This window comes from Homo sapiens, chromosome 2 (genome assembly GCF_000001405.40).
Source record: "Homo sapiens chromosome 2, GRCh38.p14 Primary Assembly".
NCBI classification, from domain to species: Eukaryota; Metazoa; Chordata; class Mammalia; order Primates; family Hominidae; genus Homo; species Homo sapiens.
In genome coordinates, this window is record NC_000002.12 from 190,413,070 (window position 1) to 190,429,107 (window position 16,038).

At 38.1% G+C, this 16,038-nt stretch overlaps 2 protein-coding genes across 11 annotated transcripts in view, besides 1 other annotated feature; one reads left to right on the forward strand and one right to left on the reverse strand.

The window, feature by feature from the left end:
* The window catches only part of MFSD6 (major facilitator superfamily domain containing 6), a 94,739-nt gene that overhangs the window by 5,494 nt on the left and 73,207 nt on the right, over window positions 1-16,038 (forward strand). For 5 of the 10 annotated variants that reach the window (XM_047444825.1, XM_011511368.1, NM_001375992.1 and 2 more), the window contains exon 2: window positions 2,223-2,344. The exons of the other annotated variants lie outside the window; for them this stretch is intronic. The gene's annotated coding sequence lies outside the window, so the exon portion shown is untranslated. The remainder of the gene's footprint in view (window positions 1-2,222; window positions 2,345-16,038) is intronic. 10 annotated transcript variants of the gene reach the window in all.
* The window catches only part of NEMP2 (nuclear envelope integral membrane protein 2), a 227,365-nt gene continuing 219,678 nt past the window's right edge, over window positions 8,352-16,038 (reverse strand). The window contains exon 9 of the mRNA XM_047441941.1: window positions 8,352-9,374. Within this exon, the coding sequence (XP_047297897.1) occupies window positions 9,347-9,374 (28 nt within the window). The 3' untranslated portion in view covers window positions 8,352-9,346. The remainder of the gene's footprint in view (window positions 9,375-16,038) is intronic.
* Window positions 15,754-15,953: a silencer, noted in NCBI's record as "fragment chr2:191293549-191293748 (GRCh37/hg19 assembly coordinates)". NCBI's record gives its function as "represses an EF-1alpha promoter that drives an FKBP-Casp9 reporter gene in an ReSE screen in phorbol 12-myristate 13-acetate-treated (for megakaryocytic differentiation) K562 erythroleukemia cells {active_cell/tissue: K562(+PMA)}" and the evidence as "EXISTENCE:reporter gene assay evidence [ECO:0000049][PMID:32094911]".

Genomic DNA, 16,038 nt, shown 5'->3' on the forward strand with positions numbered 1-16,038 from the left:
AAGAGCACACCCTCCCAAACCCCCACCTCTACCTCAGCACCAACAAAAACTACATCCCAATGTTGTATGTATTCAAAGTAGCCTCTCCCTGCCTTGATCCATTATGATGTAAATCTAGCTGAGCCACGTGTTGATGATTATGTTGAAGAGATGTGAGTGAGAGTTCTGTATTACCTTGTGACCTGGTGGTCCTGCTGCATTTTAGGATGGGAGGGGCGGGGTAGAATGGGGGAGAATAGGGCAAAGATGGGAAGAAATTCAGACCCTTAAAAAACCATGTTCAAGAGATGTGGAAAAAAATTGAATTAAGGGGGGCAGAGATGTCTTTCTTTGACATTTGTTGTGGGGCATGTTTTAGAATGGGAGACCAATTCAGGAAACATTTGGCAAGTACAAAACAGGAAAGGCCAGCTCTGAATGACTCTGAGGAAATGTTTGGAAGCATTTTGATCTGAGACCAAGAGTGGGATGGGGGAAAGACAGGGAAAGACAGGGACACTATGAATCAGCAGTGGGCAGAGTGAGCTCTGGTGTGTGGCTTTGAGGAGGATAAAAAGGAGGAACTGGTGCTGCCTGAACAAGCCCGATGTGTGGGTTAACCGTGCCAAAGGAAAGTGAGTGGCGAGCCTGGACTGGTAGTTAGCAGTCTGTGTTGGTTATGTAGAGAGACCTTGTTCCACAGGCAGGTGCACTCCACTCTGCACGGGGCCTGCTCTCTCTGAGCTCCAATAAACCAATGTACCATGAGCCCTGCTATACTGTGGGGTGAAGAGGAGACATGGCAGTCAGGGCCCAGGATTCCAGGAGAAACTGAGCACTGGAGCAGTGGCAGGAGTGGGTCCCTGTGAGTCACGCTGGGAATTCTTAACTGTTCAGGGCACTTTTAGGGACAAAGTTAAGGTAGAACATACTTGGCCTCAAGGTACTTGGCTCAAGGTAGAGCAAAGGAGGAAGGCACCACACCAAACACATAAAGCAGAATCATACAAAGTGACATGCATGCTGCCTATGACTTTTAAGAAGTACTGTGTTCCTGGGGCCTGTCTGGGGGGTTGGGTGGCAGGGGGAGGGAGAGCATCAGGATAAATAACTAATGCATGTGGGGCTTAATACCTAGATGATGGGTTGGTAGGTGCTGCAAACCACCATGGCACACGTTTGCCTATGTAACAAACCCACATGTCCTGCACATGTGTCCTGGAACATAAAATAAAGAAGCGCTGTGTTCTTGATTAACGTGCTCCAATCCAGCAAAGGCAAGCTTCTTTAGCTATTATGGAGTGCCTTTCTTAATTCTATTTCAAAATCATGCCTGTGCAATTGTGTTTAACTAATGAACAAATATGCCCCAATTCACATTTATAAGGGAGTTTAAATAAAAGACTTTATTATGATTCTTTTGAATGAGTAAACATGACACATTTCAATTTTATTTTCTGTGTAATGAGGCTCCCTGTAAAAGGTGTGCATATCTTTTAAGAGTGTCTCAAAGTCCTTGTGACAGTCCCTTTCAATTCCGTATACTGGGAAGCACAAGGCATTAGATGAATGATCAGACCTCAATTTAATAACTCTATAATTTTTCAGGAACTCCGGGAACAAGGACATCCTAATTGTCACTCAAATGTTTTATATTTAAAATAATTCCTTTTTAAATATGTATTTTTAAAGTGATAAATAATGATTTTTTAAAAATCCAGCCAAGTATAAGAAAAAAATTAAATAAGTCCTAATTTTACTACTCAGAGATAATCCCTGATAACACTTTGGTGTCATTTTTATCGAGTCTTTTTCTAAAATACATTTTATTTGAGCTACATAGATTTACAAATATAAACTGTACTATATCGAGAGGTTTGTGTCCTGCTCTTTCATTTAACATGATGCATTTTACCATGTAGTTAAGTTCTATTTTCCCATGATATGGATATAAGATTTTATTTTTCTCTATAGCTTATTTACCTATTTTCACCATAACTTATTTAACTGTCCTTATTATTGATCACTTACTTTGTTTCAGTTGTGATTGTTGTGAAAAGTGTTGCAATAAAAATCTTTACATTTAAGTCTTTGCTTTTCAGAAAGTTTATGTTTTTACTCTCAGTGAATGACAATGCCTGTCAATTCTCATACTCACCAGCATTGAATATTTCCATTTTAAAAATTATTGGTATGGTATGTATGTTAAAGTATCTATCTTTTTTATTTTTATTTATTTACAGACAGGATCTCTCTCAGTTACCCAGGCCGGAGTGCAGTGGCGTGATCCTAGCTCACTGCAGCCTTGAACCCCTGGGCTCAAGTGATTCTCCTGCCTTGGCCTCCTGAATAGCTAGAACTACAGGTATGAACCACCATGCCTGACTCATTAAAAAAAAATTGTAGACATGGGATCTTGCTTTGTTGCCCATGCTGGTCTTAAACTCCTGGCTTCAAGTGATCCTCCCGCCTCTGTCTCCCAAAGTGCTGGGATTACGGATGTGAGCCACTGTGCTCAGCCACTTTTTTATTTTATGGGCTAAGTAATAAACCTTTTTCTGAAACTAATTATATCATTAGAATTGATAGCTTATGGTAATTCTCAAGTTATCAGAACCCTAACAGCAAAATAAAACAATTTTAGATTACATATATGGGAAGGTACTAAGGATATAAATTATTCTTTTAGACTATAGCACATTTAGGGGATGTAAGTAAAAATAACTGATGATAGTCCAGGGCTATAGGAAAATGTATTATAAACCTTGAGATCTATATTCTGGTCTCAATTGTAAACTCATAAAAGGTCTGAGAAAGAAGCACCCATACATTTCTGTTTAAACTGCCTTGTCTCGTGTATAGATTGTGCTTTATTTAACCCTCTTAACTTCCTCAGTGTCTAATAGTGTTAGAATAGCTCTGTAATGTGAACTGTTACTTTTTCCTCCCGCTGGGCTTGTTCTAAGACAGGAAGCTTATTTGAAAGGTAGAAGGAAATGAAGTTCTGGGGCCTGCTTCAAATTTATATTATAAATTATGCTATATTGGCACAATATTTAATCAGGAGTCTAAAACTAATAAGTAGGAATCTGCTTCATGATGGCTGATAAGGTCTGAGGAACCTAAATTATAAATTTTTAATTGACATTTGATTATTTTCTTCCACAAAGTGAAAGTGAAAATCTAGTTGGTCTTTATTACTAAAGTCATCTTTATGGTTATAAGCTATTTCCTCCAACCCTTAAGAGATCAAAATAATTTGTTCCTTTTTCACCCTGTTAGCAAGTTGAAAGGAAATGTTAGAGAGGATTTCAGGTCCTTTCTTTCAGATTTATGATGTTACAAATATAAGTAAAATGTTTCTACAGAATATTTTATTTTAAGTGAATAGTTATTTCTTTCCTGGAGATAATGAATTATCATTCCAGTCCATATTACAATAGTGTGTTCTCCAGTGAACCAGTGCCTCACAGGCCCCCATCAGGCTGTAGACATGAAAACAGACATGAACATAAATTCATGAGCACAGATGGATGAAATACTAGCCTAGTTCAAGGGTGGTGCCAAATAATTCTGGGAAAAGTGCTTTTGGCATAATTGCAAAATAAGACCCAGAGTTTTAATGAAATATCTGGAATAAAACTACAACTACCAGCAACACCAAATGTTCATATGTTGCTTTTAGATTAACAGAATGCTTTCTCATACTTTATTTCATTTAAGCTCTAGAATCCTTCTGGGAGTTAATTGACTTAAGTTTGTATGGAAAAGGAGGCTTAAAGAGGCACTGATTTATCAAAGCCAGGGGGATGCAACTGGGACTTCTTTTGACTCTACTTCCTAAAATGAATTTTTGATCACATTAAACTTTAATAAAAATTTATATGTTTATTGTCATCAGGTGCTTGTCAAAATAAACAGTATTGAGAGCTTACAGGGGTAAAGGGCAATATGTTATGTTCTAGATTCCTCCCTCGAGGGGTATACAGTCTTGTTGGGCAAACGAGATATCTGTAAAAAGATAGCAATAAAATTACCTATAAATCCTACAGTAGATGTGAGAACAATCTCTAGAAGTAGAGGAAGGAGTGAGGAAAATGTTTCAAGTGTATTCTATTTCCAGATGTTATGAAAGGTCCCATTAGATATAGTGAATTCATAAAGTACTGTTTGTTCTGAAATGATACCATCACAGGACTTCAGTACTGGATCATTAGCGGTAAGATCAGCACACCAAAATAAAAGTTCAAATGTTGGGAAATCCTTAGCAAGGTCACAGTAGCAAAACCCTGCCAATCTATTCATCCTTTAAGATTGGCTCGAGGCCCCACACCACAGACCCTCTGTGTACATCACCTGTGCTTGCTCCTGTTTGAACATTTAGCATAAGGTGTTGTGATTGTGTGTGCCCCCGTCTTCTTCTCGCCTCTGGGTGTCATGACAGGGACTGTGTGGCCTCCAGCATGTGTCCTACCTACTAGTGGGTGCTCGATCTATAGCTGTAGGGTTTTTTTGGTTGTTCAAATGAATGTCTTTTTTTCAGTATAATTCCATTGTATTTTGTGTTCTGTCGTCCCTCAGCCTGGTATTCAAGGCCCTGTGCCATCTGTTGCTGTCTGGGTGGCCTCATGTGCCCTTTAGTCTTGGGATAAATCTTTTACGGATCCTCTGCTGCCTTTTCTTTCCTCTACCCTGGAATAGTTTTCCCACTCATCTTTGCCTGTGAATCCTGCCCATCTTTCAGAGTTCAATTTAAGCCCCTCGTTTTCTTGACAACCCCTGTCTGAAGTATGGACACCCTACTTGGAACTCCAGAAGCATGCCTATTGTCCCTAATATCTTTTAGTTAATAAATTATATAGGGCTATGTGGCTTTTCTTCCATTATTATTCTGACTTTTCATTTAACCCTTTAGTGGTGTGTGTGTGTGTGTGTGTGTGTGTGTGTGTGTGTATGTGAGAGAGAGAGAGATGTGGTTTATCATTGCTTGTCAATGATAAAGCAAGTCTTTGAGGCCTAAGACCTAACTTTTGGGATCCCTGTCTCATAGCTGCACAGTGCATTGAGAGTCAGTACCTGCTAAGAGCAGCACTGCTACTCATTCCCTATGTGACTTTGGGCTGGTTATTTGCCTTCTCTGTGCCACAGTTTCCTCATTGGTAAAACTGGGAAAGGAATCATTTCCACCCCAGAGAACTGTTGTGAGTATTAAATGAGTTAATACATGCTAGGTTCATAGCAAGTGTTACTTAAGTGTTATTGTATTGTAGTTGGTAATAATATGATAGTATAATCCACTGATTCCCTGTTGAAGTGCAAATATGTTGTCAAGATGGGGCAACCAAGGTTGTGAATCAGCTTGCTTATGATCTAGCAGTCAGGTTTTACTAGGAGCCTTGGAAAGGCCCACCAAGAATGACAAGGTGGTTGGGCACAGTGGCCCACACCTGTAATTCCAGTACTTTAGGAGGCTGAGGCAAATGGATCACTTGAGCCCAGGAGTTCAAGACCAGCCTGGGCAACATAGTGAGACCCTGTCTCTGCAAACAACTGAAAAGAATAGCTGAAAGTGGTGGTGTGTGCCTGTAGTCCCAGCTACTTGGGAGGTTGAGGTGGGAGGATCACTTGAGCCCAGGAGGTCAAGGCTGCAGTGAGCTGTGATTGTGCCACTGCGCTCCAGCCTGGGTGGCAGAAGGAGCCCCTATCTAAAAAAACAAAACAAAACAAAAGAATGACAAGGGTGCCAGGTTCTAGTTTCTGGGAGGAGTTTCAATCCCAGTGGAATGCTGCTAGTAGCAGCTCTGGGGAGCTAGTAGCAGCTCTGGGGAGCCCGTGGGCAGTGCTGAGTGCCTGGAGGGCTCAGGCTGGAAACTGGGCTGACAGGACTGAGACCAGTTTTGTTTCTTTCATCATTTGGCTTTGCCATAAAGGAACCATGTCACAATACCCTGAAAGGAAGAGGAAGATTCCAAAATAGTCATTCATCTTTGCACAGATCAGTGCCCTTGTAGCCTGTGTGACTGTTATAAAACTAACCTTATATATTTTTTTCATGACATTGGCTAAATGTCTAGCAGATGCTAAAGCAATCCTGATGGAAAAAAAAAATCTATGGGAATTGACCTCGCACACTGTGTCTCTGGAAAAAGCTCTATCCTGGAAGAAGCTGGGGGTTGAACTGAATGTTTGAGTGCGGTGTGTGAATACCTAGATTCTAACGCTCTTTTACAGTAGTTTCCCTGTGTCTATACTGGTCATAATTGCAGCAGTATGTTAGAGTCCAGCTCTGGGACTCACATTTCCCAAAGCCATTGAGAATGTTGGCCAATAACAGTTGACAAGACAGAGCTGGCTGCAAGGGTTTGAAAAGTTGATTTCCCTGCTTCGCAGCTTCAGCCCTCATCACTAGGCAACACTGAGTTATGATGGCCATGGCACAAGGAAGAGTGTCCCTTCTGTGGTATCCAGGGACTATTTCCTCTCCATCACTGATAATTATGTCACTGCTATGTTATAGCACACATTCTTATCATGTTTGTAAATCTAACCTTTGGCAATTATTCCAAATAATGTATTCGATCTCAGGGTTTCTTTCTTCAAAAGTTGAATCCATTTTCATACTCTCATATATTTGCGGATAACTCAATATATGTTTGAACAGTTTTAATTCAAATACATAATGAAGAAAGCTATCAGTTTTAATAAGAATGATTTCATTGCCTCTCATCAATAATTCAGAAATACCTGCTATTTGAATGACTCAGTGTAGGTACTGGTAGCATAGCTTTCCAGGTTTTAGAAGTCTGTGTTATATTTTCACAATAGTTGTATTGATTACTATCATTAGACTGTGCCAGGTGAGAAGACTTCTGCTTTCCTAAAAAGTAAACAAAGCCTTCCTTATCTGATTAGGATGAACTGCAAACCTGCACTAGAGAATATTTCCCAGAAAAGATCATAAAGTTAATTCTGTATATAATTTGAAATGTCTTCTTAACTCTATATTTTCAAGTTTCTTTTTTTAAAAAAGCATTAAGACTCAGACATTAAAAACAAAATATTAACTGAATTGATTCATGTTCATTGCCCACTGTCTTAGTTTGCTCAGGCTGCTATAACAAAATATATAGCAACCATATATAGCATATATATATAGCAACCATATATAGACAGGGTTGCTTGAACCACAGTTTATTTCTCACAGTTCTGGAGACTGAGAAATCCAACATCAAGGTGCAAGTAAACTCTGTTCCTGTTGAGGGCCCTCTTCCTGGCTACTAGATAGCCACCTTCTTGCTATGTGGATAGAGAGAGAGTTGCCTCCTCTTATAAGGGCATTAATCCCATCAAAAAGGTCCTATCTCATGACCTCTTCTCAATCTAATTACCTCCAAACGGGGCTACCTCCAAATACCATCATATTGGGGTTTAGGGCTTCAACTTATTAATTTTGGAGGGGCTGTAGACATTTAGCCCATATCAACCTCTCAATAAACAAAATCTCCTTTCACTTTATAAACAGATTGTCTCATCCAGCATATAAATATTTTTACTACTCTTTGTACTTGTTTTGTCATTCCTTAAGACAAATTAAATATAATCCACTTCAGCCAAAGATGCCCTACATTGGGATATACTTGTTTTTGGTTTCTTTTTGTCCCTGATCCTGTGATTACACTTTATTTATTATGCTTTATTTCATAACTGTGTTTATAATGTGATTTCTCCATGTTTTGGTTCCTTTTTACCAAAATCTAAATATGACCTGAAAATATTGAGTAAAAAAAAATAATGACCTGAGTTTAACAGTTTTGTTTGTCTTTTAAGATTTGAAATTCATATAAAAGTTACTGTCTATGACATTTATATATGGGATACTGAATGTCATATTACAGAAACATTTCCATAACGACTTTGTATTTGTTGATACTGTGAGAACTACTTAACATCTGGACTTATGTAACCAGAGAAACCTTGTGTAACCTTATGATACTCAAAAGTCATTTGCATATGGTGGAGAGGAAATAATATTTTGGGAGAAAGTCACTCATCAAGGTTTACATCAATATCTTAATGTAAGATATTTCCATTTTTGAATTAGCATATGGGCATCAGTTCTTCATAATCACTTGGACAATTCAGGAAATTATGCCCATTAAAGAGGACTTTGTGTCCTTCTCTGATCTACCTGGGGAAGATTCAGCAGATGATTTATGTAGAATAATTAATTAAAGTTCACTCTAAGGCCCCTGATTAGAATTGATGTGGAAGGACATTCTGTACAACTCTGAAAAATGTTTAGTCAGTGATAGAAGGGTGTTAGTAGTTGGCTTTAATGTCGTTTGTAAAGACAAAATCCACATGACTCCATATTTCTTTCTCAGTTTTTATTTTTAAAGTGAGAGTTATGGATGTATGAAGTTAAAAAAATGAACATGTTTACAAGGTTACAAACCAAAACAAAAAAACAGACTTCTGTGCTCTTTTTATTTCTCTTCCCAGAGGCAACTACTTTTTCTGCAATTATTTTGATATTCACCTATTTATTTATTTGAGACAGTTCTCACCCTGTCACCCAGGCTGAGTGCAGTGGTATGATCATAGCTCACTGTCCTGGGCACCTCAGCATCCCAAGTAGCTGGGACTGTAAGCATGTACCACCATACCTGGCTAACTTAAAAAAAAAATTTTTTTTAAAGATGGGATCTCACTATGTTGCCCAGAACTCCTGACTTTAATTGATCCTCTTGCCTTGGCCTCCCAAAATAGTAGGATTATCACCTGTATGTCTTTAAATAAAATTCTTGTATCTGTATTTCTTGACTTTAATTTTATTTAAAGACACTAGATAATATCTAGTGTCTTCCCACTATAGAAGAAACCAAGTTAACTCTCTCTTCTGCTCCTGACTGTCTAATGAGAAAGCCTAACTTTCTCATTTCTCTGACTTCCCAATGTAGCTATAAGGCAATTTTGGTTAGTTCAGTATTCATGTTTGTATTTGTATGACTGTGTAATCATAACAGAGACATGTAGTAAACTGCATTTTTTCTTTTTCTGTGCAACTCTTTGTTTTCTTGTAGTGTTCTGTTTATTTAACTTTCTCTGTATTTATCAGTTATTCATCCTTGAATGTTTCACCAGCCATCTAAATTTCCTCTTAGGACATTCAGGTGTATTGGTATTCTACCAGTGTCATTTTTCTGACGGTCTCTCCTGAAACCTTCAGTCCTATTCCCACTAGACTGGTTGCCCTTCAAAGTTGTCATTCCTGGGATCTCCAGTTCTGTCATCCCTGTATTCCTGTTGCTTCTCTCCCATGTTAGATCTCTTATTTCCTGTATCCCTTGTCTGTCTTTCGCTTGATTTATCCTTTTGTTCTGGTGGAACACAACCTGAGAAAGGGTACATAAGAGATAAATTTTGTGAGAAATTGCATGTGTAAAATGTCTTTATTTCACCCATAAACTCAAGTAATAATTTGGCTACATATAGATTGTGATGATGTTGTTGAGATATCTGAAGCCATTCTCATTCCTGATGCTTATTATGTGAAATATTTTATACTCTGAAAGTTTGTAAGGTAATTCGTTTGTCCCAGTGTTCTGAAACGATGATGTGCTTTGGCTTGTGTCCATTTTTATTCATTGTGTTAGGTACTAGGTGGGTCATTTCACTCAGACAACTCTTATCTTTCAGTTTTGAGGCATTTTCTTGAAATTTTAAAGTTTTCTTCCCTTAATTTTTTTCTTTTCTTCCTTCTTGGAGTTATTATTTTCTAGATGTTTGACTTCCTGGGAGATGCTATATCTGTCTCATTTTTTCTCTCCTACTTTCATCTTTTTTTTTCTTCATATTAAGTTCTTTTGTTGTAGAATACTGTAGTTCAGTGAGTTTTTACAAAGTCAACACTTCATGAAATAAAGCCCTAGATAAGAAAATACATTATCAGCACCCCAAAATTCCTTCTAGTCACTATCTCCCTTAAGGGTAACCCCTATCCTAACTTCTTTTAAACTTTATTTTGAGATCATTGTGGATTCACATGTAGTTGTTAGAAATAATAGAGCAATGTCCCATGTATCCTGTACCCCCTGACTTTTCCCCAGTGATAACATCTTGCAAAACTATAGCATAATAGCACCATTGACATTGAGGCAGTCAAGATACAGAACATTTCTCTCTGTCGCCACCAAGGTCCCTCATGTTGCCCTTGTATAGCCACCTCTACTTCCCTCCTGTCCCCACTCTCTAGTGAATTCCTGGCAATCACCTGTCTATCTCTATTTCAATGATGTTGTCATTTCAAGAATGTTATATGAATAGAATCATACAGTATGTAATGTTTTGAGATAGGATTTTTTCATTCTATAATTATCTGGAAATTTATCCAGTTTATTGCATGTATCAATCGTTTGCTCCTTTTTATTGCTGCATAATATCCCATAGTAAAGCTGTAGTACAATTTGTTTAATTAGTCCTTCCATCCTTTGAAGGGCTTTTGGGTTGTCTCCACTTTTTGGCTATTATGAAGAAAGCTGCTATAAACATTTATGCATGGGTTTCTGTGTGAAAATAAGTTTTCATTTATCTGGAATAAATTCCCAGAAGTGTAATTACTGGGTTTTATGGTAATCATGTATTTAGTTTTATTAGAAACTGCTAAACTGCTTTCTAGAGTGGTGTACCATTTTAAATCCCCACCCACAGTATATGAGTAATTTGGTAGTTGTGCCTCCTTATCAGAATTCAGTGTTATCCCTATTTTTATTTTAACCATTCTTATAGACGTGTAGTGATATAGCATCATGGTTTTAATTTACATTTCCCTAATCATTAATGATGTTGAACATCTTTTCATTTGTATCTATGCATTTATATATCCTGTCTATCCTCTTCAGTGAAATGTCCCTTCACGTTTTTTGTCCATTTTCTAATTGGATTGTTTGTTGAGTTTGGAGAATTCTTTACATATTCTAGAAACTAATCCTTCGCTGGATTTGTGGTTTCCAAGTATTTTCTCACAGTCTGTAGCTTGTGTTTTCATCCTCTTTGCAGAGTCTTTTAAAGAGCAAAAGTTTTAAATTTTAATGAAGTCTAACATTAGTTTTTCCTTTTATGGATCATGGTATCGGTGTCAAGTCTAAAAACTCTGCCTAGCACTAGAGGCTAAAGATTTTCTTCTTCTTTTTTTTTTTTTCTAAATGTTTTATAGTTTCAAATTGTATAGTTAATGATCCATTTTGAGTTAATATTTGTATAAGGTATAAGACTTAGTTTGAGGTTATTTATTTATTTTTTTTTCAGACAGAGTTTCACTCTTATTGCCCAGGCTGGAGTGCAATGGCTCTGTCTCGGCTCACTGCAACCTCCGCCTCCCAGGTTCAAGTGATTCTCCTGCCTCAGCCTCCCGAGTAGCTGGGATTACAGGCACATGACACCATGCCCAGCTAATTTTGTATTTTTAGTAGAGATGGGGTTTCTCCATGTTGGTCAGGATGGTCTCGAACTCCTGACCTCAGGTGATCCGTCCACCTCGGCCACCAAAGTGCTGGGATTACAGGCGTGAGCCACTGCGCCTGGCCGAGTTTCATTATTTTTGCCCATGGATGTCTAATTACCTCAGCACCATTTGTTGAAAGGTTACCTTTCCACCATTGAATTTTTTTTGCATCTTTGTTAAAAAACAGTTGGGCATATTTGGGTGGATTTGTTCTGGGTTCTGTATTCTGTTACATTGATCTATGTGTCTGTCCTTCTGCTAATACCACACGGTCTTAATGCACAGCTATATGATCTTTTTCAAAACTGCTTTAGCTATTCGTTTCTTTCCTTTTCTGTATAAATTTTAAAATCTTGTCTATATCTACAAAAATATGTTGCTGAGATTTTGATAGGAGTTGTGTTAAACCTGTATATCAATTTGAGGAGAATTGAAATTCATAAACATGGATCCATTTATTTAGCTCTTTGATTTCTTTCATCAGCATTTTATGGTTTTCAGCATAAGGCCTTGTACACATTTTTTAAATTTATACCCAAGTGTTTCTTTTTTAAGCAGCTGTAAATGGTATTATAATTTTGGTGTCCATGTGTTCATTGCTAGTATACAGAAATACAATTAATTATTGTATGCTTATCTTGTATCCTGTGAACTTGCTGAACTCACTTATTAGTTCTAGAAGTTTATTTATAGGTTTCTTGGGATTTTCTACCTAGTCATGTTAACTGCAAATAGGGACAGTTTCTTTGTTTTTGATCTGTATGTCTTTTGTTTTCTTTTATTTCCTATTGCACTGGTGAGAACTTCCAGCATTGTGTTGCATAAGAATGATGAGAACAGACAGTCTTGCCTTGTTCCCTATCTTAGAGAAAAAGCATTCAGTCTTTCACCATTAAGTGCAGTGTTACCCATGGGTTTCCGTAGGTGATCTTTATCAAATTGAGAACATTCCCCTCTGTTCTTAGTTTTCTGAGACTTTTACCTCAGAACCTATTTTCTGAGACTTTTTCAAATGTTTATTTTATCAAGTGTTTTTCTGCATTGATTGGTAAGCTGAAGTAATTTTTCTTTTTTAGCTTATTAACATGGTAGATTGAATTGACTGACTTTGAAATATTGCATCAGCCTTGTATTTTTGGAATCAACCACACTTTGTCATGTTGTATAATTCTTTTTATATGTTGCTAAATTCTCTTTTCTAATATTTTCTTAAGGGTTCTTGTATCTAGATTTACCAGGGATATTAGTAGTTTTCTGTTTTTTTGGACAGTCTTTTTTTCTGGATATAGCATTCTGCATTGACAATTCTTTTCTTTTAGCACTTAAAAAAAATTGTGCCACTTCCAGTGTCCATGGTTTCTCAGAAATCTGCTATCATTTCAATTGTTTTTCTCCCATTGGTAAGTTGTTTCTCTCTGCTTTCAAAATTTTTTTCCTTGCCTTTAGTTTTTAGAAGTTTGACTGATGAGTTTTGGTGTGGGCATTTTGTTTTAGTTTTATCCTGTTGGGATTGCTCAGCTTCTGGAATCTGTAGGTTTATGTCTTTTGCCAATTTGAGAAGTTTTTAGCCTTTACTTCTTTGACAACTTTTTCACTCCCTTTTTTTCTCCTCACCTTCCAGGACTATGATGACATGAACATTAGATCTTTAGTTACAGTCCCATAGGTCCTTAAGGCTCTTTCACTTTATTTTCTCTCTGTTCAGATTGTGTAATTCCTATTGTTCTGTATCCCAATTCACTCATTAATCCCTCTGTCCCCTTTATTCTGCTTTATTAAGTGTATCCATTAAGATTTATTTTTGTGGTTGTATTTTCCAGTTATAAGTTTTCCATTTTTTCTTCCATTTCTTTGCTGAGACTTTCTGTTTTTTTTGTTTTGTTTCAAGCATGTTTATAATTGCCTATCTAAGCATTTTTAGGATGGCTTTTTAAAAATATTTTAAATTCAGGGGGTACAATGCATGTTTGTTACATGGGTATATTGTGTAGTTGTGGGGATTGGGCTTCTGCTGTACCCATCACCCAAATATTGAACATTGTACACAACAGGTAACTTTTCAGCCCTCATCCCCCTCCCATTCTCCCCACTTTTGGAGTCCCCAGTGTCTATTATTTCCAAATGATGGTTGTTTTCAAAATGGTTGTCATTCCTGTCATCTCAATGTTGGCATCCATTGATTGCCTTTCTCCATTCAGTTTGAGATCTTCCTGGTTCTTGGTGTGACGAATGATTTTTTATTGAAAGCAAGATGTTTTGGGTATTATTTTATGAGACTGTGGATCTTATTTAGACCTTCTGCTTTAGCTGACTTTTTCTGAAACTGCTCTGGCAAGAGAAGGGAGGATGCTGCTTTATTACTGCCAGCTGGAGGTAGAAGTCCAAGTTCCTCACTCAGCCTCTTTGGATACCTGAAGGTGAAAGACTTTTCATTACTGTGAAGTGGAGATGGGCATTTCAGCTCCCCAGTAGGCCTCCTCACATGGCCTTCAGTGACACCCATTGAGAGTGAGGGGTGGACCTCCTTACTGCTGGCCAGTGGTGAAAGTCCTGATTCTCTACTGTAACTCCTGACATCACCCCAGTGGGGAAAGGTAAGGGTGCCTTGTTACCAACAGGTGGGTTGGCAGTCCAGGCTTCCCATGTAATCTCCACTGATACTGTGGCCTCATTACTGCCTAGCAGGGATGAAAGTCCTTGCTCCTTTATCTTCTCTGATCCCACCTTAGTTGAGGGGTTGGGGGTTCCCCATTATAGCTTGGTGAGGGCAGAATTGTAGGCTCCCTGCTCAGCCTTTGATGGTGTGGGCAGGAGTGGGAATAGGGTTATGATCATTTTTTCTGTGGTATTTGGCTGCAGTCGAAGTTATTATCTAAAGTTCTGTGTCTTTCTAGACTGCCCCTTTCCTGGTTCATTAGATAGCAAGCAGGCACTTGTTAGGGCTTTTTGTTTGCACCTATCTTCACCCATCAGTATTTCTTGGTTCTTCAGCTCCACTCATACTTGTGTTGTTCCTTGGGTACCAAGGTCCATAGCTGGTCTGCCTTTTTTTGTCTATCTTTCAGAGTCTTCTATGTTTACTTTATATATTATTGTCTAGGGTTTTTAGTTGTACTTAGCAGAAGTGATAGAGAAAATTGTGTCTACTCCATCTTCTTGGAAAAGAAGTCTACCACTTTTTTTTTTTCTTTTTTTTTGAGACAGAGTTTCACTCTTGTCACCCAGGCTAGAGTGCAATGGCACAATCTTGGCTCACTGCAATCCCCACCTCCTGGGTTCAAGCGATTCTCCTGTCTCAGCCTCCTGAGTAGCTGGGCTTACAGGTGCCTGCCACCATGCCCAGCTAATTTTTGTATTTTTAGTAGAGATGGGGTTTCACCACGTTGATCAGACTGGTCTCGAACTCCTGACCTCAGGTGATCCACTTGCCTCAGCCTCCCAAAGTGCTGGGATTACAGGCGTGAGCCACTGTGCCCTGCCATGTCTACCACTTTTAATACCATAACTTAGTTTTGCCTGTTTATTATTTTTCCATAAGTGGAATCATGTGTTCAGTGATCTTTTGTTTCCTGCTTCTCTTAGTCCATATTATGTTTGTGAGATTCATCCTTGTCACTGCATGTAGTTGTAGTTTGTTCATTTTTACTGTTGCACAGTATTTCTTTGGATGGAAATACTACAATTTATGTATCTGCTGTAGACAGGTTGCTCCCAGTTTTGAGCCATTAAAATTATTCTGCAGTGAACATGTTTATAGATGTCTTTCGGTGAATATACATATCTTTTGGTTGTCATAGGGTCTTACACTCAGGATTAGTAGCTATTCCCAGTTTTTAAAGTAGTGTATCAATTTACAGTCCCACCAGCAATCTATGAGAGTTCTAGTTGCTCCACATCCTCATCAACATTTGATATTACAGGTTGAGCATCCCTTATTTAAAATGCTTGGGACCAGGAGTATTTTGGATTTAGAATTTTTTCAAATTTTAGAATATTTGTTTTATACTTACCTGTTCAGCCTTCTAAATCCAAAAATCAAAAATGCTACAATGTGCATCTCCTTTGAGTATCATGTTGGCACTCAAACATTTAGAGATGCTTGCTTATTTATTTATTTATTTATTTATTTATTTATTTATTGAGACAGAGTTGCACTCTTTCACCCATGCTGGAGGGCAGTGGTGCTATCTCAGCTCACTGCAACCCTGCTTCCTGGGTTCAAGTGATTCTCCTGCCTCAGCCCCCCGAGTAGCTGGGATTACAGGCATCTGCCACCATGCCTGGCTAATTTTTTTAGTTTTAATAGAGATGGGGTTTTGCCACATTGGCCAGGCTGGTCTTAAACTCCTGGCTTCAAGTGATCCACCTCCCTCGGCCTCTCAAAGTGCTGGGATTACAGGTGTGAGCCACCATGCCCAGCCTCAATCTTTTTTATTTCAGCCATTTTTAGAGTATGTTACATTATTGTATTCTGGTTTTAATGCTTTCACTGGCGATTAATCAAGTTGATCATCTTTTTACATATTTATTGGCCATTTGTATAGGCTCTTTTGTGA